Consider the following 22424-nt stretch of genomic DNA (forward strand, 5'->3'; position numbering starts at 1 on the left):
ACCTGAACTTTATAAGCCACTACTCTGATAAAGGCCCACAGTGACATCTTGGGTCTCCTGTAATTACTGTCATTTCAGAGCCAGTGTCCAGTAGTCTCCTAAATGTCTGATTATTTTCTTTTATCCCAGTGCACAGTTACAATGATAAAAGGTCCTATGTCTCTTTAGGGAAGGTTAGGAGAAAGATTAACAGTATAAGTTTCAGGTAATGTACTGTGTTTTTCCTTGAGGGGAGGTTGCCTCCACTTCATTCAAGGAGTTCTAGGTCTGTAAACTGGCCCAAGTCTAGAAATTGATTGAAGGGCAATGTCTGTCTGTTTTTGAAATACACTTGACTTAGAACTTTTCTGCTTGTTCAGATCAAGTAAGAATTTGTAGGCTTTCTATTTCATTTGTAGGAACACTGTGATTAGCCAATGTCATTGCTCTGCAAGGGTCGGAATATTCTGACTGCTGCTTTGACTCTACTGACCGTTAGGGTAACTACATCCATCTTGCCTTTGGTGGTTGAGTGCCAGACTTGGCCCTGGCCACCCAAGATTGAATTACTCCCATTACGTTAGGTGTTGTCAAGGAGGCTGGGGCTTCCTTCACAAACTTATTTCTGAAAGTATTGGTGAAGGGTATGTTTTCTGGACCCTCCTAGTGTGGGTGAGTAGGTCTACTCTAATATACTTTAATATTTTGCTCTCCCTAAGCCTTTGAATACCTTCCTCTCCATTAAACCAAGGGCGGTCAAGCATCTCCAATTCACTTATGGTGGGCGGTGGGGCATGGGCCATCTTTTGGCTCATGTTTCAGTCAACCAGCCCAACAAACTGTTAAGCCCTTCTTTTTAAATTAAATTAAAATTTTTGATTGTGAATGGTGTAAAACAAAACTCTAAATTCATCACTCCCACCCGTATAAATAGCCAGGTATTCCTAGAACTCTTTACAGAGTAATCCATCTTTTCCTCACTATAGTCAGCATTGCAGTATTTGTCATACATCATATTCTACGTAGAGTCTGTTTGGGGGCTCTTTACTCTTCCGTTAGCCTGTTTGCCTGCACTGCACTACTACAATTGCTATAACAATTTTAATTACTGTTATAATGGCTACAATTTAAAAATATTTAAAATTTTTAAATATCTATTTTAAAATTGTAGCCATTATAACAGCTGTATAATTATAATGTAACAATTAAAATTATAGCGGTTATAGGACAAATCTGATATCCCATTTTTCTTCCTTAAAATTGCCTTAGCTATCTTGGATTTTCCTCTTCTTTAGTATGTATAATCTTTTAAACTCTGGGAAAAAAACCTGTCAAGACTGGGATTAATCGAAGTAAAATTATAATCTGGGTGAGAATTAATCTTTATGGAGTCTTCCTAACATGAAGATGGTATGTCTATTCATTTATTTAGGTTTTCTTTAATGTTTTCATTTTACATAAGTTTCATAATTTTCTACATAAAAGTTCACACAGATCTTTTATTACATTTGTTTTTAGGTACCATTTTTTATCTGTTTCGTTTGTATATATATTTTTAAAAGTAAATCTTCACTTATGGCTCCTATCTAGAAATAAAATTGATTTTTATATATTGATCTAATATCTAAAAAATTAAATCAAGCCTTTTATTAAAAGATTTTTTTTTGAAGTAGATCTCGCTCTGTCACCCAGGTTGGAGTGCAGTGGCATGGTCCTGGCTAACTGCAGCCTCTACTTCCCAAGGTCGACTGATCCTCCCACCTCACCCTCCTGAATAGCTGGGACTACATAGCATGCCACCAAGCCTGGCTAATTTAAATTTTTTTTTTTTGTAGAGACACTATCTATCTTGTTATGTTGCTTAGGCTGGTTTCAAGCTCCTGGGCTCAAGCAATTCTCCTGCCTTGGTCTCTCAAACTATTGGGATTACAGGTGTAAGCCATGACGTCAGGCCTAGAGTCCTTTCTATCACTCTTAGCTGCAACATTAACTGCAGAATTTCTGCCTAGTGAGCTTATATCAATAAATTTAGCCTGATTCAACATTTTGTTCCTTCCACCATTATCCCACATTCATAATAAGCGTTCCCACACATGTTCCCCAGATTTCTGCTTGTATAAATTAGAAAGCTCAAGCAGTGCTTTTAAAGTGTATTGCATCTCCTCTTGGCTCACACTTTGTATATCACCTTTAGGAATCTCCTGGGACTTCAGTCTAGTTAGAGGTCTAGAAGCAAAAAGTGGGGGTGGGTCCTGAGGAGAATCAGCATTGTCTTGCATGGCAACTGCCTCAGGGAAGGCCATTACCATTTCTTCAGTCAACAGAAGCTAGCTCCTCAGATGGAGTTGAGAAGGTCACTATCACTGTGGATGGGAAGGCCACTTTTGCTGCGATGAGGGAGGCTAATTCCACTAAGGATGAGAAGGCTGCTTCCAGTGACACTGGGAAGACCTCTTTCACTAGCAAAGAAGAATCATTAGAATGTAGGGACTTAATGTCTCCAGCTTCATCAGTCTTTCCACGCAGCCCCATCCCAATTCATAGAATCCCACTTTTTTCCCAAACGATGGCCTCACTTTAACAGTAGACATTCTGCGAGACTGCAAGTTCAACTTGTATTATAATTCAGCCAACTGAAGGATGAGGTCCTATGTTTGATTTTCAGCAATTTCAGCCCTGTGACTACAGGAGATAAGGAACTCCTTCTGAGCACACATAGAAGCTCTTAGGCCATTTATTCAGCACTTGAGTTGGGAACTGGAATCCCTGAGGTCATCCTTTAAAAAACAAGGCAAACAAAACAAAACACACTTCTAGACATTAGGAGCAAAGAACCAACATCCTTATATTCCTTAGTTTTCAAAAAATGTTGGATGTTATGATATACAGTCATTTAGCTCTTTGATTCTCATAAATGGTTGATTAGGACTATCCACTGCAGATATTTTGCATATCATAGCCATTTACTATTAGTGCTCTCTTTACTACTAGAAATAGAATTTAAAAACCTGATCAGATTAGTAATCCAATTCCATAAACCCCAGAACAAATTCACAACAGTTATTCATAAAATTATGTTCCTCTAGAACTACTCTTAGTACAAAAGTCTATGCTAGTCAGGGTTCTCCAGAGAAATAGAACCAATAGAACTCAAAATATATGAAGATATTTATTGTGGAAATTGGCTCAAGCAATTATGGAGACCAAGAAAGTCTTACAGTTTTCTGTTTGAGAGCTGGAGAACCAGGAAAGCAGGTGGTGTAAGTCCTGGTCTCACTCTGAAGACCTCAGAACTGAGGATAAAAAAGTGGAGAGGTTTAAGTCACTGTCCCCGTCCCAAGGCCCAAGAACCAGGGCCATGAATGTCTAAGGGGAAAGAAGGATGGATATCCAGGCTCAAACAAAAAGTGTAAGTTTATCCTTTCTCTGCCTTTTCATTCTATTCAGGCTTTCAGAAGATTGGATCATGTGTACCCACATTGGTGAGAGTCATCTCTACTCAGTCTACTTACTCAAATGTTACTCTCTTCCAGAAATACTCTCACTGACATACCCAGAAATAATGTTTCACCAGCTAGCTGGACATCCCTTAGCCCAGTCAAGATAACACATAAAATTAACCATCACAGGGTGAAGAAGTTGATTTTTAAGTTATAGCATATAGCTGGTAGTTGAATGCATGTGAATAGATGAGACTGCCTTTGGGTAGAGGGTATCCAGAGAAGACCATGAAGTTAAGGCAAAAACTCTGCTAACACCAACATTTAAGGAAGAAACGCCTGTTAAGGGCAATGAGAAATTATTAAACTGAGTGGTTATTAAGTTAATCAAAATAAAACAAAATAGATTTACTAAGGGCTTCCCATGGACCAGGCACTGTGCTGTGGCTTATAATTCTGCCATGAACAAGGCAGACTTAGTCCTTTTTCTTCCTGGAGCTTAGAGTATAGAGATGCATATATTTAAGAGAACTTTAATTGAGAATGGAACAAATGAAAATAATCGGTTTTTTGGAGCTCAAAAGGTAGTGAATAGAGCTAGTTTGGAAAAGCCTTCTCTACAGAAGTAATACTTAAGCTAATACCTAATAAGAAGATAATTTGGTGTGGGGAGGTGGTTAAGAATCAAGACAAAAGTATACAGGGTATGCAACAGTACCACATGACTAAACACTCTGAATTTGGTGAGAACTTGGTGCATTTGAATTGTGATATCAACATGGTAGAGTACAAAAAAGAGGAGAGAGAAGTATGTGACAAACCTAGAGAGATGGGGGTGGGGCTAGTTCACATGAGACCAAATAGTCCATGTTTATTCCATATTCCAAGGGAAATAGAGGCCATATGCAATGACCATTAAATTTTCTTTTTGTCGGGCTAGCTTCCCACTGCTTCATTTTTAAACATTTCCTCTTCTACCCCATGAGATCTTGGTTGAATTTCCAGTTACCTGGATCAGTTTGCCCCCCAGGATAGCTAATAAGAGGACTCCATCCCTTTGGAGACCAAAGATTAGGTTAGTGGAAATATATAATTTAAGCAGGGCTAATCATAGTCTAATTTATGTGGATCCTTGGATGAAAAATTTTATTTTCCTCTCCTTAGATTTGCCAGCAGACATCTTGATACAACATAAAGAAAGCTTGTTTGAGACAAAAGCCAAGTGGAGGCAAAGTAGCCAAGAGATGGGGAGACAGTAGTACAGATCCCAGTTATCTCATTTGATTCTTGAATTCATCCAGAGTACCTCTTGGACTTTTCATTTTCTAAATGCCATTGAATTTATTTTTGATTAATCTAATTTAAATTGGGTCTCTGCCATGTAAAGTTAAAACAACATAGATATCAAAGGATACAATGTAAATATATAGAAATAAATTTTATATCTTAAAAAGATCATTTATAATAACACCAAAAATAAAATACATAGAATAAATCTAATGAGAGATAGGCAGGAACTCAACAAAAAAACTATACATTTAAACCAAGAGAAATTAAAGACCTAAATAAATGGAGGACTCCAACAAGTTCAAGGGTTAGAAACATTATTATTCTAAATATTTCTGTTTTAAAAATTGATCTATAAAAGCCATGCAATCCCAATCAAAATTTCAATCTATGTATGTATGTGTATATTTATACAAAATATATAAAATATATATATACACACACACATGCACACACACATATACGCACATATATGTGTGTGTGTAGAGCTGATTCTACAATTTATAGATTTTTTTTTTTAAGCCAAGCATAGCCAAGACGATCTTGAAGAAAAAAGAAGAAGTCATGTTAAATAGCTACAGCAATTAAGGTAGTGTGGTATTGGCACAAGGATATACACATAAACTAATGGAACAAAATAGGGAGTTTAGAAATAGCCTCAGACATATAAGGTCACATGAAATTACAAAAGTGTCACACTGTTTTGCAGTGGGAAAAAATATTGTCCTTAAATAATGATTCTGGGTAAATTGGGTAAACATATGAAAAAAATGGAGGTTGACTACCAATGTACATGATACAGTACAATCAGTTTTAGGTGGATTGTATCTAAATGGAAATGGTAAAATAATAAAACTTTGAGAAAATAACACAGAATACTTCATGGCATTCTGGTAGGCAAGTTTTTTTTTCTTTTTTGAGAATATAAAAAGTATTAACCATAAAGGAAAAAATTGATAATTTAGACTACTTTAAAATTAGGAATTTCAATCATCAAAAGACCTCATTAAGAAGTGGAAAAGACAAGTCAAAGGATGGAAGGAAGGAGATAATTGAAATATATATGTTATATATATATAGGTTTGATAAAGGACTATTAGAAATCAAAAAGAAGGCAGAAACCTAATAGAAAAATGACAAATGACTTTAACAAACACTTCACAAAAAGTACATCCGAATAGCAAATAAGCACATGAAAAGGTATCTTATTCATCAGGGCAATGCAAATCAAAACACAGTAAGATGCCACTACACAATCATGAGAACAGCTATCATTAAAAAAACTGACATTATGGCCAGCGCGGTGGCTCACTTCTGTAATCCCAGCGCTTTGGGATACCAAGGCAGGTGGATCATGAGGTCAGGAGTTTGAGACCAGCCTGGCCAAAATACAAAAATTAGCTGAACATGGTGGCGGGCTCCTGTAGTCCCAACTACTCGGGAGGGTGAGGCAGAAGAATTGCTTGAACCTGAGAGGTGGAGGTTGCAGTGAGCCAAGATCGTGCCACTGTACTCTAGCCTGGGTGACAGAGCGAGACTCTGTCTCAAAAAACAAAGCAAAACAAAACAAAAACTGACAATATTAAGTGTTAATGCAAACAGGGAGTAATTGGAATTCTCAAACGTTAATGAGAGTTCAAATTGGTAAAACCACTTCAAAAAATTGTGTGGCAATATCTACTCTATAGCTAAACACATAATCCTATGATTTAGTAGTACTATTCCTAGGTGTATTACTAACAGAAATACAAACATATGCATACCAAAAGGCATGCATAAGAATGTTCTTAGTATCTTTGTTTACAATAGCCTTAAACTGGAAACAATTAAAATGTCCACCAGCAGTAGAATGGGTAAATACATTTTATACAGGGGAAATCCACAGAGCAATAAAAATGAATAAGCTATTGCCGTGTGCAACACTGAGGGATGAGTCTCGCATATGTAATTTGAGAGAAAAAACCCAGATCCAAAAAGCACAGTGTGTGATACCACTTACATGAAGTTAAAAAACTAGTAAAGTTGATGAATAATGATGGAAGTCAGCATAGTAAGTTCTTTTGGGGTGCGGCTGGGAGACTGTTCGCATTCTACTTCCTGACCTGTGGCAGTGACAAGGGTAGATTTCACACGGTGAACATTCATGAAGCTGTACATTCATAATCTGTGTGCTTTTCTGTTTGTACGTGATACATCGGTAAAAAGGTTACTTAAAGAGAAATAGAGTTTCAAGAGGGAATGCATGTATTGGACTGGGTACTTAATTATATTTGAATTTGTTTCCGAATAAAATTTCAAGATAATTAAAACTGAGATTTTTTCTTTTCCGCATTTTTTTCTTAATGTTGCATGGTCTTTACCCTTTCAGTCAGTGGCATCTGGTATTTAAGAGGAAAAACAGATTCAGCCAAGCAAAGAAGACAGTTTATTATTTGGAAATCATGGAAGTAATAAAGATCTTAAAAGCCTAAGTTTTGGCCGGGTGCAGTGGCTCACGCCTGTAATCCCAGCAATTTGGGAGGCCGAGGCGGGTGGATCACCTGAGGTCAGAAGTTCGAGACCAGCCTGGCCAACATTGTGAAACCCCCATCTCTACTAAAAATACAAAAATCAGCCAGGTGTGGTGGCACGTGCCTGTAATCTCAGCTACTCGGGAGGATAAGGCAGGAGAATCGCTTGAACCTGGGAGGCGGAGGTTGCAGTGAGTCAAGATCATGCCACTGCACTCCAGCCTCCTGGGCGACAGAGCAAGACTCCATCTCAAAAAAAAAAAAAAAAAAAAAGAAAGCCTAAATTTTGAATGAAGAGCCTAATTTTTGAGCCAGAAAAAGTTTTTATAAATCTCCCCAAAGCAAGATTTTTAGCATCAGTTTTCAAAGCTTGCAGAAAGAATACATCAAATTTATCCATAAACAACACAGCAGGGTGAGAATAGATTCAAAGCCAGTTTTTCTGACACACGGAGATTTTTTTTGTCTTTTTAATTTTTAAAATATTCTTGGCATGTGAGTGGAGCTTCAGAATTAGGAAAAGGAAGCGAGATAGTTAGCAGCTGGTGTGAGTTTCTAAAGCTGGTAGGGCACCATTTTGTCTCTTAAGATTTAGGTCTCGGTAGGGTTGGGGTTGGAGGAATTATAGGAATGTCTGACCCACTGGGTGAATCTGAGAGCAGAGTGGCCTATATCTTGCTCTGTTGGGAGTAGCCTGGGGAGACTACAATTATTGTAGAGAAGTCTTATGCCCGCTGTGGTCCTGGAGTGACAGAAGAGCAGTGGTTCAGTGAGATGTTGGGCTGACCGGGTTTATGGGCAGACTGACAGTTCAGCACACACATGCAGTGTGGTGTGGAAAAAACAACAACATGGAATACAAAAATTAGCCGGGCGTGGTGGCCTGCACTTGTAGTCCCAGCTACTCAGGAGGCTGAGGTGGTAGGGTTGCTTGAGGCTGGGAGGTTGAGGTTGCAGTGGGCTATGGTCATGCCACTGCAGTCCATTCTGGATGAAACTGTGTCTCAAAAAACAAAAAAAAAAAAAAAGGGAAAAGCAACATGGGCTCTGAACTCTGAATGTCCTAAGAGGGGGAAGAAAGGTGCGTGCAACTGCTAGGAGATGCCAGTCACATCCAAAGGGCTATGGAGGAAACGAACTGATACATGTAAAGGCCTTAGAATAAAAGCCAGTTGTTGTTGATGTAGTTTTTCACTTCTGAGTGCATATGGGGCTTTAGAACTAAGTTGTTAATAATAAAGAGCTGAAAACAAGTGCACTCATTAAGAATATGATGCCACTCACAGCTGCATACTTCACCCTCTCTCTGCCTCAGCAGGGCAAGGATTTTGAGAGACTAAAGGTCCATTTACAAAAATAAGACCAGAACTTTGGGACCCTTAACCTTTGTAAGGCAAGGACTGTGCTTTATTTGGTTTTGTACACCCTCTGCCCCAGTGACTGGGCATGGAAAGCTATTTGTGTTTGTTGAGATGAATAAATAGATGCAGTTTCCATTGGGAAAATTACACAAGCAATAATGTTACCCCTCCAACAATTTCTGCAAAATAGTTACACTACAAGGTATCACATGCAAGGGGCCCTTCAGATCAGCAGATAATTGTGCCTTTGGAAAATGAAAATCAAAATCAACACTCCTGGTATAGCTTCCCCATCTCTATAGATTCTAGTACTTACTCTCTGCCTGCTGGTTTCTCAGGCATGAGAAAAGGCTTTTTGACTCCAAGTCATAACACTAAAATACTCATAGTTCTGGCTACTATTGGATAATAAAGTTGGCAGTGCTATTCAGGAATCATATCTGAGTGTGGTTTCTATGATGGGACCAATCAACTGTATATTTACTACACGTTTTGGAGCCCTCTGTAAAACAAATGCTTGTCCTGCAATTTCTCCTTATTACAGAATGTATTCTGAATAGGTAATTTGGGGTTTCCCCTTCAAATTCACTCCTCCTTACCCAAACACATTCGCTGAGTATGTGTTTGTGTTTGGGTATGTGTGTGTGTATGTGTGTTTATCTACTCTCTGAGTCATGTCTCATCCTAACTTTGCCTTATTAGCAAATCTGTTGTTTTCAGCAGAATGGGTTAACAGACTCGTAGCCCTCTGCAGATCCGCAAAGGAGACAGTCTCTCTTAGATGTTACCTCCTAAGTTCTCTGGCCTGTCCCTGGTGTGTGCTCACTGACTGTTCTGAGGTTATTCCTCAGCCTATCTGCAATGGAATTCCTTCAACACAAGCAGTGATGAGAGCTGGCAGCCTTAACCTGTGCACAGTATCTTTGCCATACATTTTGATAAGAAGCATGTCTCCTTGGAGATCTTGATAAGGTAAATATTATCTTGAACTCATGGCCTGAGTATAGCTGCCTGATTATTAGGGATTGCAGGCATGAGCCACTGTGCCCAGCTATGAGGTAAATATTATCAAGAACACTTCTTCACTTAGAAATATTAAAAATTATTAGGTGTCTGCATGTTCTCATAAGTGGGAGTTGAACAATGAGAACACATGGACACCGGGAGAAGAGCATCACACACGGGGGGCCTGTTAGGGGGTCAGGAGCTAGGGGAGGGATAGCATTAGGGGAAATACCTAATGTAGATGACGGGTTGATGGGTGCAACAAACCACCATGGCATGTGTAGACCTGTATAACAAACCTGCACATTCTGCACATGTATCCCAGAACTTAAAGTATAATAAAAAAAAAATTATTAGGTGTCAACGATATACCAGGCCCCATGTAAGGTACTGGTGGTGTGTTACATACAGATACAGGAGCCAGTCATTTCTGTTTGTCTTTTTTTTTTTTTTTTCAGAGATGGAGTCTCGCTTTGTTGCCCAGGCTGGAGTGCAGTGGCACAATCTGGGCTCACTGCCAGCTCTACCTACCTGATTCATGCCATTCTCCTGCCTCAGCCTCCTGAGTAACTGGGACTACAGGTGCCTGCCACTATGCCTGGCTAATTTTTTTGTATTTTTAGTAGAGACAGGGTTTCACCATGTTAGCCAGGATGGTCTCGATCTCCTGACCTTGTGATCTGCCCGCCTTGGCCTCCCATAGCGCTGGGATTACAGGCGTGAGCCACCGCGCCTGGCCTCTGTTTGTCTTTTATAATCTTTCCATCTTCTCACCTATCCTCCCTCACCTTTCTGAATGGGATTGCAATGATTTATGACAAGCACACACAACAAACAAATGGAGACTGAGAAACTCAGTCATGACCAAAGGAGGCATTAATAAGAGTACGGAGTCAAGAAAAAACTTTTGGCCCAGCGTGGTGGCTCACACCTGTAATTCCAGCACTTTGGGAGGCCAAGGTGGGTGGATCACTTGAGCTCAGGAGTTCAAGACCAGCCTGGGCACTATGGAGAAACCCTGTCACTACAAAAATACAAAAATTAGCCAGATGTGGTGGTGCACACCTGTAGTCCCAGCTACTCGGGAGGCTAAGGTGGGGTGATTGCTTGAGTCCAACAGGTGAGGCTTCAGTGAGTCAAGATCGCTCCACTGCACTCCGGCTTGAGTGACAGAGGGAGATCTTTCTCAAAAAAAAAAAAAAAAAAAAAGCAAATAGCAAGAAAGAAAGAAAAAATCTTTCAGACCGTAAAGGCCTATGTGGTTATTATACTTGTGCTGACATTAGGCTTTGGGTTTCCTGGCAATCAAAGCAAGCAGAAAGACCTATTGCTCTTTTTCAGAAAGGAAAGAGGATTTCAGTTCCTCAGGGAAGGCAAAACTGTTTGTTTTTAGCACTAAGTTCTGAAAAGCATTTTCAATGTGGTGCTTTATATAAGGGGCACTGAACAAGATAATAGACAACATGCTTGACTTCTTCCAAATAGCAAGCACATGAATGGAATCTATATGACGACTTCTTGTGTTGTCTTTAGATAATAGTGATATAACCTTAAAATGCATCTCAATGGATGCGATTATGTGGGGACTTGGCTCTGACGAAACGAAGCTGCCTAGACAAGATGAATTTTATCCATAGATAAAATTCCAAGAACCAGTCCAAGAAAAAGAGTTGAACAAATCCAGTTTTTCCTTGGGAAACGTTCATCTTCACTATCAGCAGTTTCTTAGCCATTTGAGTGCCCCTTTCTGGCTCCAATACAGTTGGCGGTCTTTTGTTTAATTTTGGCATCTTGCTCTCAGCTAGCTGTTATTATAATTCTCATAGCAGTCATAAATGCCATTGGAGCCCTAAGAGTTAAGAGTTTTGGACTTGCTGAGTTTTGAAAAGTTTAAAATTCCTTTAAAAAATAATCGTTGAACTCTTCAGAGTTTTTTATATGCTAATATATATTGTGACTCTGTAAGAGAGAAAAATAATGTTCAGTATTTCTTCATCATATTTGATCATGGAACCCCTTAGTCATGTATCAGATACCTGTTGGGAAATGCTGTTGAAAGTTATTCTTTGTTAATGACTTTTAATGTAGACATTACAAGATCCCTTGCAGGGATATTGGCACTTTAGTATAGGATTAATGATGGTCAACAAATGTTTGAAATTGAAAGCTATGAATTTTTAGTAAAGCATCCTTGGTGCCCTGGCAAGTAGATGAAATATATTTGGGCAGGTGGAACTTTCTAGAATCCTCATGTCATACCACGTATTTATAAGACCAGCCCTCACAATCTTGGTCATGGCCTAAAAGTCTTTCTTCATCTATAAAATCAAGATTGTATTCTTCAGCTTAATCTTTGAATATCAACTGAATAAAATAATCAAAATACTGTTGAGACATTTGAAATGTAATCATTTTAAACTACCACTTAAAAAGAATAGAGCATAATAATAATCTTTGGGCAAAATTTATAAAGAATACGCTAGAGAATGGCTTTCTTTTTTTTTTTTTGAGACGGAGTCTCGCTCTGTCGCCCAGGCTGGAGTGCAGTGGCGTGATCTCGGCTCACTGCAACCTCCGCCTCCCGGGTTCAAAAGCGATTCTCCTGCCTCAGCCTTCCGAATAGCTGGAATTACAGGCACACGGACGCCACCACGCCCGGCTAATTTTTTTGTATTTTTAGTAGAGACGGGGTTTCACTGTGTTAGCCAGGATGGTCTCAATCTCCTGACCTTGTGATCTGCCTGCCTCGGCCTCCCAAAGTGCTGGGATTACAGGCGTGAGCCACCGCGCCTGGCCGATAATGGCTTTCAAAAATGCACGTTACTCTCACTATGACACAAAATAATGTGAATAAACATTTTAATAGCAAAGGCATTTTAAAACAAAACAGTTAATTAGGGGCATCACGCATGGTATAATTCTTTAAAGGTAGACATTGCTTAAGACCTTGAGACTGGATAGAGTGAAAAGATATCTCATCTTTTACATCTTAGAAATAAATATTTGTAACCATCTGGAGTCTATTTTCTGGATTAAAGAGAAGAGCAATAATCACACAAATTTATCTTTGAAATGTCACTTCTAACATTTGCTAGTTGAACAATACTATACCTTCCCCCCTCCATTACATGGTCAAATATATTCTCCCTAAAAATATAATTTTAACATCTTGAAACAAAAGCAGTTTCTATTCTCTAAGCTAAAACATTAGTCACCAGAGAATGGAATTCTGTCTGAAGATTAGGTTTCTCTATCATGCTCCAGTGAGACTAAACTGAACATTCTTAACTCTTCTACTCTTCTGTGCATTTGCCTGATTATTATGTTTACCTGCAGGGAATTCTTCCCAACACATGATGAACTCTTATTCATCCTCTAAAACCCAACATGCTTTCCTTTTCCAAGAACGCTTATCTTCCTCCCATTTTATCCATTTCTCCTGTATGCTACCTGCTGCATATACCTATTTCTATTTTTTCATTTATCATATGGAAAAAATTCCATAAGAACATTAAAATATGTTCTTAGAGTATGAGTTCAAGGGAGGCATGAACTACCTCTAATTTGTTTCTGTCTTTTGGGGTTAAAGTATACACTACAATACAGATCTGCACAAAATATGCTGCCTCTTTTATTTGCTATAGTTGATTGCATCTAGCTCTGCATACCCCAGTTCTGCTGCCGGTGGAAGCATGAACGTGGTAGAAAACACTTACCTTGTCTGTGAGAGGTAACAGCCTTTTCTGGTTTAACAAACATTTTCTTCTGATTGGTTTAACATTTGTGATTAATTAGCCTTTAGATGGGTGGTAGAATAAAATATTATTTCAAAGTTCAAACTTCCTATCAAGATTGTCTCCTCACTTCTCACAAGCTCTCTCTTCTCCTCTTTCCCCCAAGATGGCATGTTTGTTCCAAGAGAAGATTGGATTGTTTAATTCAGTGTGCAGGAGTCTTCTGGTGTGGGGCTGCCTTCTCGGCACTGAGGAATGATTAACCTGTTCAGTGCCTGGTTCCCTTGGGTTGGTGTTCACTAAGGCATAGATAATCCCACCAATCTATCTGGGCTTCTTGCTGGGACCACCTCTTGATGTGATAGTCCTTTCAGTTTGGGTTTTCTAGGGTCCTGTGTTTTATGGTCTCATTCTCCCAGTACCAGCTCCTTCAAATTTCTCAACATCAAGTCTCTCAAGTTCCTCATCTTGGGTCATGAGAACTCCAAGATCTCCTACATACCAAATGTTGCTCGTGGGGAATATGCTGCTCACTACTGTCTGTTTGTGTCTAATCTTTCACACCCACTTCATGATGGATTCAGTGGAGAAAGGGGGAACAACCCTGGACATTTTGATCCTCTCTCAAATAATCTAGAGTCTCTATCAAGGTCTCTATCTATCTCTGTCATTTTTGTTTTTCTTTATTGGAACTTGAGTTTGGGAAACCAAGTTCCTTCTCAAAGACCCAGGCTATATTCTCATCCTAGTGAAATTCCTTCCAGATATTTCTTTCTTTTTTACTGAATTAGATGAATGTCATTTACATTGAATCCTTACTCTATCCTAGAGCTTTTAGTAAAACTCTATGATTCAAGTCAAGTCATCTAGGTTTGGCTCCTGACATGAGAATGAAGCTTTTATAGTTTAGAGACCACCTTTCTTTATCACAATAGGCTGGCTTGCAAGACTAATGCTTCACTGTGGACTCAAGAGTTTCTTTGGGTTTTTTTGGTAGTCAAAAGCTGAATATTAGATATATCCTTCTTTTTTTGCATTCCTACTTTCATGTGTAAATTCACACAGCTGGCAAGAGGAAGGTTGATATTTTTTATCACCAGCACCTTAATGTTGACTTGGGTTTTTCTCATTTGTCAAACCTACTCCTTTTCTGCCTCTCCACAGACTTTGTGGTTCTGCTATATTTGGCCCTATGTGATTATGCTGTATTGACCCAGTTGCCCCTAATCATGCTGTCTGTGCTCAGTACCTGCAGAAAAGATAAGATATTTCTTTTTCCTCTTTTCTTCAGAGCTAAACAACAGTTTAGAGCTTCCTTGCAGATAGGTGGGACTCTATGTCTAAGTTCTGGCCAGGGAATATGTGTGGAAATGACACACCCTACTTCCAAGGCTGCCTTCTAACACTTCTTTTGCAGTCCTCCATAAACTTTTTTATAGTTTGTCAGTTGGCCAGAGGGAGAGGATTCACTGAAGGAAGGGCCCTGAGGTCCTAGGGGATGACAGGTCTACCCAATCAACTTTCCGGGTCTATTATTCACTGACCTCTAATTAAAATTTAAGATCTCTTTTAATTGTGAATATAGTCTTAATTTGAAGAGTATTTCCAGTATCTCTTACTTTGTCACTTATAGAATTATAGATATTTTTATATTGCTTTACAGATATCTCAAAATATTAATTACACTCATTTCTAGTTTGACATTGAACTAGTTATTATTAGACTTGCCACTGAATCTTGTTATTTAATATACTAAAAACAAGTACATAATTAGCTTATTTGAAGTTTAAAAGATATATTTAGGGCTGGCCACAATGGCTTACACCTGTAATCCCAGCATTTTGGGAGGCTGAGGGAGGAGGATTGCTTGAGACCAGGAGTTTGAGACTAGCCTGGGTAACATAGTGAGACACAGTCTTTACAAAAAATTTAAAACCTAGCTGGGCGTGGTGGCATGTGCCTGTAGTCTTAGCTACTCGGGAGGCTGAGGCAGGAGGATCACTTGAACCCAAGAGTTAGAGGCTGTGGAGAGCAATGATTATGCTACTGTGCCACAGAACAAGACCTTGTCTCTTAAAAAAAGTATATATAAAACTGTATTTAAATATACTTGCTTTCATTTTCATCTTATGTATTTTATCTGTGTTTTTTTTCGCTTGATTTTTGGCCCTCTGTGGTGTCTCTCACCATATCTGGTAATTTTTGATTAAGTGATGGATATTACCATGGTATTTTTGGTTAAATGCAGAAGGAAAGCCATTTAAGAAAGTCACTGGGCCAGGATGTGTATCTTAAATATATTATACTGTTTTACCCCCTTACTCTTATCAATGTTTCTCAATTTGGCTTTATTAAAAGGATTAAACCCTAGAGAAGATGAAATCATTGTGTGACCATTTTCCATAGGTGGTCTTTAGCTGGTATCATTTTAGATGCACAGGGACACAGTCAATTCATTATACCTATAGTAGTTGCCTCATGGCATTGAGTTTGATTCTCTCTCAGAACCCTGGTTGAGAAAGGCTGCTCTGGATGACAGGAAAATTTTAAGAGACAGGGCAGCTTCAATTCATCTGATCCCTGCAAAGGAGTGACCAGCAAGAAAATTATGGTCCTAAGACAGTTTAGGGGAATCAGCAAAAATGGAGTAGATTTTGCCATTCTTATTTGTGGAAAGAGGGCATTCAGTTAGCCTCTGTTGGGCTATGAAGCCTCTAGAAAACGGTGGTCTGATCAGCTCAGAGTGTTGATCTAGAATTACTGTAAAAGCAAAAATTAAAGAAAGATAATGTGCTTTCAGCTGTAGGCACTTTGATAACCTTGAGACTGTTTGGGATTGATGCCTTCAAGAAATATTAGGGAGATATTGTCAGACTTTTGCATAATAATTTCTATTATTAGTTCACAGTAAAAACTGCTATCAAGGTTGGCCAATGGGATTGCTTACACACCATTGCCTAATCCTTGGGGGAAGTAAATGAACGTGACATTCTTCTTTGTACCTCTTCCATTAAAACGCTATCTGTGAAAGAATAGAATCTGATGGGTAATGCGCAGAAACTAAAGCAGTGAATAATACTCATTACTCTCAGAGACTATTCAGCTTGGCATTATTTGCTTTTCCTCTTCTGATGAAAATCTCTAAAAATTTTTCAGAAGCTATGAATATAAAAATTATAACCTAAGGATTCCCAGCAGGTTGAATTATTTGCTGAAACACTTACGAACAGCAGGTGTTTAGAGAATATGTGGCATCAAAAGCCATTTTCTCTCAGCCAAAGCATTCTTTTCACATGGAGGCATAAAATGCTATCAAGATTCAGATTTAAAAATGCTGAGGCATCTGTTATTTTTTCTCTCCCATCTCTGTATTTGAGTTTTTTTTTCATTTTTAGGTTATTTTAGGCATTTTATCTTTTGTATCTTTTGGTAGTAAACAAAATATTATTTATTTATTATTTTTTCTGTAATTCTTTGGACTTAATCACTTGTAGACAAATTAAACATATTCATTATACAATTTTTAGTCAGTAGTTCTCTGAATACTCCCAATCTGAGGTTAATAGGAATTATAGGCATTATCATTTAATTTAGCACTAAATTATAGGATTTTGTCATTTTTTACTATTATTTGTTGTTTATCTTATTTCTTCCCTAAATAATTTTTTTAATGTGTATATATGGGTACGATGGTTAGTTTCATGTGTCACTTTGACTGGGTACAAGTGCCCTGACATTCAGCTAAACATTATTCTGGGTGTGTCTTTGCAGGTGTTTCTGGGTGAGATTAACCTGATTGGTAAAGTGAGTCAAGCAGATGGCCCTCTCTAATGTAGGTGTGACTCAACCAATCAGTTGAAAACCTGAACACAACAAAAGGCTGAGTAAGAGGGAAGTCCTCCTGCCTGACTGCTTTGAGCTGAAACATTGGCTCTCCCCACGTCTTGAGCCTGCCAGCCTTCAGACTGGAACCAGCACTATTGACTCTCCTGGGTCTCCAGCTTACTGACTGAAGAACTTGGGAACTTACTGACTGAAGCCTCCATAATGAAATGAGTCAATTTCTGAGAGAGAGAGTGTGAGAGGGAGACTTTCATCCTATTGGTTCTGTTTTTCTGCAGAACTCTGACTAATCCAGTGGATCATGTCTTTGATATTAATTTTGTATATCCATAGCACATAGTAGTACATCACGAGTATGTTAGAAACTTAAAATAGACGTTTAGAAGCAGAGTGTTCCTTGATCAAATGATTCATGAAACCTAAAGTCAGTTACTCTGACATAAAAATTGACTACACATTTGCTAAATCCTTGAGTGCAGGTACTGTTGCACTTGTTGGGTTTGATATAGGTGGAAATAAAGGCAGTGAGAAATGCAGTATTGATCTTGATTAGGTGGTATGCTGAGTCACTATATTTGAATGAGGAATTGTAATTATAGCACATAATACAGCATGATTTTCATAAAAAAAGGTATTATTTAAATGACAGGTTAAACTCATTTACCTTTGTCAAAAGCCCATGTATATCTTCTGAAAATTCATAATATTGTAAGTGACAGAAGAAGGGTTCTATTTATCAATGCTACCATAAGATTTGTAAACCAGTTAAAGCATGTCATCTTTCCTGCAGCGATTAGTGCTTTTGATCCAAGTCAGGGCATGCATTTAGAGTTGTTTTTCAAATTGTGGTGATGAATATCTTGTCTGATTTCACCTATAACCCTTGAAATGGATATGCAGGAAGACTAATCAAGATAAAAGTTTTAATGCGTTGTTATAAAACAGAGTGAAATTATGACTGGTTCATGCTCAATTTTAACTCCACAGCCTTAGCCTCATTGGGTTGTGTAGTAACCAAATTAATGGATTAAAGTTAGAAAATGTGCCAAACCATAAACCAGAGATAAGTAAGCAGAAAACTGCACTGTCATGAATGGACATCGTTCTAGTCACTTCTGAGTGTGATGGCATGAGTATTCTCACATGAAAGACTATTGTAAACTCTTACATTTGTTAAAACCAAACACTTACAGTCTTTACATGAACATTATAAACACAATTTATAAAAATATATAATGTTGCTTTTCTCTTGAGATGTTTCAGCTGAGAAATCTGAGAAGGTAGAAACATTGAACTGCAAAATGCAACTATCCTCTAAAATACCTGGTAGTCTAGATTTGCTACCGATGTAATTTTTATACACATTTCAGAAAGTAATTTTTTCCCCAATACTTTGCTGGATTGCCCATAGGAATATAAAAAAAAACACACATGCTAATGTTGCCCACCTGATATTGAGCAGCACGATAGAGTTAGACTCCTGAGCTGCAACTTCTGGGTCAAAAGTTGATGCTATTTCAGGGTAGTAAGCACAGCATCCCTGTTGCCAGGAGGAAATGTATTTTCAGCTCTGCTCTCATTAGGTGGTTTTTTGTCCTCTTCAAATATGAGGAAAATAAAATCCTCTTCATCACCTCAACACAGTGGGGACTCAAAGTGCATACTCCCCAAGGGACACAGAGGGCTCAGAATAGAGACAAATGGGGATGACATTTTGCAGGTATATTGGAGAACAGTGAAGACAACCACTTTAGCAGAGTAACTTTTTTTTTTTTTTTTGAGATGGAGTCTTGCTCTGTCACCCAGGCTGGAGTACAGCAGTGTGATCTCAGCTCACTGCAACCTCTGTCTCCTGGGTTCAAGCGAGACAGCCACCTGAGTAGCTGGAATTAAAGGACCGCTTAAGTTTTGCATTTTTATTAGAGACAGGGTTTCGCCATGTTGGACAGGCTGGTCTCGAACTCCTGGCCTCAAGTGATCCACTGGCCTCGGCCTCCCAAAGTGCTGGGATTACAGGCGTGAGCCACTGCGCCCAGCCCAGAGTAACTATTAAGAGTGGATATTAAATGGAACATTGCACAAGCTCATGAGCAGATAGTAAGAATGCCAACTCTGCTAGAAGGTAGTGACCTGTAAAACCTGTAAAACCATGAACAGTGTGTGGCTTTCAACAGAAGAGATGCCACAGTTGGATAAAGATAGAGACAGAGAAATTGTATCTGGATTAAACTGAAATAGTGATGATTTTCTGAATCATCCTTGATTAAGGATTTTCACCAAAGACTTATTGAGGAATACTGTAAATTAATATGATAATTTATCTGCATGTATGCCATTTATTGTTTGTATTCTGTATATAATTATGATTCATTAACTATATAGTAAAATGTATTAGGTGGATGCAAAAGTAATTGCGGTTTTTGCCATGACTTTCAATGGCAAAAACCCCAATTACTTTTGCACCAACCTATATGTAATTTTCATTTTCCAGTGCAGATCCATTCGGTCTAAATTAATCTTTTTATCGTCACAAAGTTCTTGAGTTTAAGAATATTTCACATGTTGTTGTAGGTGACTGGACTGGGAAGACACTACCTGAAAACAGCAGTCTACATCTGGGCCCAGAAGATCCAAATCTGGAAATCAGCCCATTGTCTAGAATGCTACCTTTGCCATACTCGTTTCAGTCTAGGATACTAGACATATCCATTTTTTTTTAGAGATCATCAGGATTTTTGTAAGAGGGCTTGTGGGGGCAGGGGTGGGGTGTGATGGGGAGGTGAACGGGATGACAAAGAATGCCTTTAGAACTTCATTCAAAACACTGTGCTCTATCACTTACTAAGCATGACTAGTCTTTGTTTGTGAGAGTATGCGGAGGAGAATTCAGACATTTATGATTCCCAACTAAGACCATGAATTTGAAGGAGGCATGCTTCCTATCCAACTTCAGAAATGGAAGCAAATCAAGTAACAAATATTTTTTTATCCCTTTTTATGGGCCCATCACTGAGCTAACTGCAAGGTATACTAAAGAGAGACTAACTGTACTCATTACCCTTAAATAATTACTGTAATTACATAAAAATACAAAAGAAAGAATTGTCACAGTCTAAAACATTTCATATTAGCTAGAGAGGCAATAGGAGACAAATTGTAAAAAATTAACTGGTTCTGGAACAAATAGGTTTTATAGAAGAAACATACTTAGTGACGTTCCTTGACGGAGTAGAAGGGCGGGGAGGGGAACAGGTAGGAGACAGGAGAAGCAAGTCCACAGCACTAACAAACCCATTCCTGGACTTGTGCACATCCTTGAGCTTCAGCCCAGCTTTTGCAGGCAGCAGTGACCCTGTATTTCAATTGTTAATGCCATGATACCCCTATATAGAAGAAATTCCATGACTGCTTTCTTAAAACTGTTTTTGATATTCAGTTCCTTCCTAATTTCATTTTAGTTTATCCTCTTGGCTATTTGTCCTCCTTGAGAAGAAAGAGTCCGAGAGAGAGAGACATGGTCTTTGGTATCAAGATTTGCATGTATAATTTTCTGAGCTAGCTTTTCTCAGGAGGAGTTATTCCTTCTGTCTGTAAGTGTCCCCAAATCTTTATGAAATAACATACTAATTGTGGCCAAGATGCTAGTGCTCACGAGCACCTGTATTCTCTTCTTTATCCTGAGCCCCCAGGTAGACCACACTTTCTAGGCTCCCTTGCAGATTGGTGTAGCTATGTGAGAGTTCTCGTAAATGGCAAGCAGAAATGATGGGACCATTTTCAGACTGACACACAGAGAACCTCCCACATGCAATTCTCTAAGCTCTTGGCTGATTAGAGAGGACTCTGGGACACCAAAAGAGAATGGAGCCTCTGGTGGGAAAGACCCTGGGCCCCTAAACTGTGGGTATAAGACAGAGCCTTCCCTTCCTCCCAGTGCCTCAGATTGGACTGTGATGTGATGTGAGCTACAAATAACAATGATTGCATTAGCTGAATCTCCAGTTGGTTGCTCATTGATTCATTTAACGTATATTATTGGACCACTTCTCATGTTCAATACCATAATCCTATTGATTTTCCAAAGCAATGTCACTATCAATTTAAAGCACATGAATAAATTTATTATAATAGAGCATAGCCATTTTGGACAAATGTTTAAAAAACTTTTTATTTAGAAGAATTTCAAGGTAACACTTGTGAGAACAGCACAAAGAACACTTGTATGCTCTTCACCCACATTCACCTACATTTTGTTCCATCGGCTTCATCTCTTGTTCTTTCTTCACGTATACACATATTTTTCATATTTTTCTGAACCTGATCACTGTATAAAAACAAGGACACTCACCTACACAACAGCAGTACAGTTGTCAAACTAAAGGAAATTTCTCACATCTATTCAATCGACTGTGTGTATTCCAGTTTATGAATTGACCCCAACCTGTCCTTCATAACATTTTTTTCTCACTTATAGAGTAGCCCAGTCTAGGAGCATGCACTGATTTTAATGGTTGTATCTTTTTAGTCTCCCTTAATCTTTGTCTTTACCTTTAATTTCTGTCTTTTGTGACATTGACATTTTAAAAGAATACAGTCCTATCTTTCTAATAGAATGTTTTTCATTTTGGCTTTGTCTCATTTGTCAGCATTGGAGTTGGGATATGGATTCTTTTTAAAAATCTTTTTATTGAAGTACAATAAGCAAACATTTTGAACCAAAACTTTGATAGCTCATTGAACAAGGGTGAGGGATTGAGGTATCCAATTGTAGTTGTTTCATTGCTAGGTTATGAGGTAGATGCCATTTCTTCTTCTTTTAAAAAAATTTTAAAAACCAGAACATTTATTGCGTGACTAATCATTGAAATTCTTAAGATGAACTGGATGCTGCAACAGTTGTCTTTCTGGATTTAGCTGTTGTTCCTTCACGGAATCTATGGCTGAATCTGCAGTACCCAATTTTTAGGTGCCTCACTTCACCAGTCCCAGTGGTATTTTGTCTTTTAGACTTGACACTCGAGTTATACTTCCTCTTGCACTTGGCAGAGTAGCCACATTTGCCACAGGTCACTTCTGAAGGTGGTAGGCCTTAGACCCACAGCAGGGACACAGTATGTGCATCTTATTGTGGGGCTTTCCAAACTATGACATTCCCTTTGTCATCTCGCTTCTGTGGCTAAGACCAAAGAGCAGTAGATGCAATTTCTTGTTTTCTTTTTAATTTTTCCATAAGTTATTGGGATGCAGGTGGTGTTTGGTTATATG

At 38.5% G+C, this 22424-nt stretch overlaps 2 long non-coding RNA genes and 1 pseudogene across 2 annotated transcripts in view; 1 reads left to right on the forward strand and 2 right to left on the reverse strand.

Annotated features, from left to right (window-relative positions):
- Positions 1 to 13445, reverse strand: part of LINC03147 (long intergenic non-protein coding RNA 3147) — a 49937-nt gene extending 36492 nt beyond the window's left edge. Inside the window, exon 1 of the long non-coding RNA NR_024354.1 lies at positions 13299 to 13445. This is a non-coding gene — a long non-coding RNA (long intergenic non-protein coding RNA 3147). The remainder of the gene's footprint in view (positions 1 to 13298) is intronic.
- LOC124900465 (uncharacterized) overlaps positions 1 to 18961 on the forward strand; it is a 145830-nt gene extending 126869 nt beyond the window's left edge. The window contains exon 3 of the long non-coding RNA XR_007067823.1: positions 17088 to 18961. This is a non-coding gene — a long non-coding RNA (uncharacterized LOC124900465). The remainder of the gene's footprint in view (positions 1 to 17087) is intronic.
- RPL37P3 (ribosomal protein L37 pseudogene 3) lies at positions 21985 to 22356 on the reverse strand (annotated as a pseudogene).

Source organism: Homo sapiens, chromosome 21, assembly GCF_000001405.40.
Source record: "Homo sapiens chromosome 21, GRCh38.p14 Primary Assembly".
NCBI lineage: Eukaryota > Metazoa > Chordata > Mammalia > Primates > Hominidae > Homo > Homo sapiens.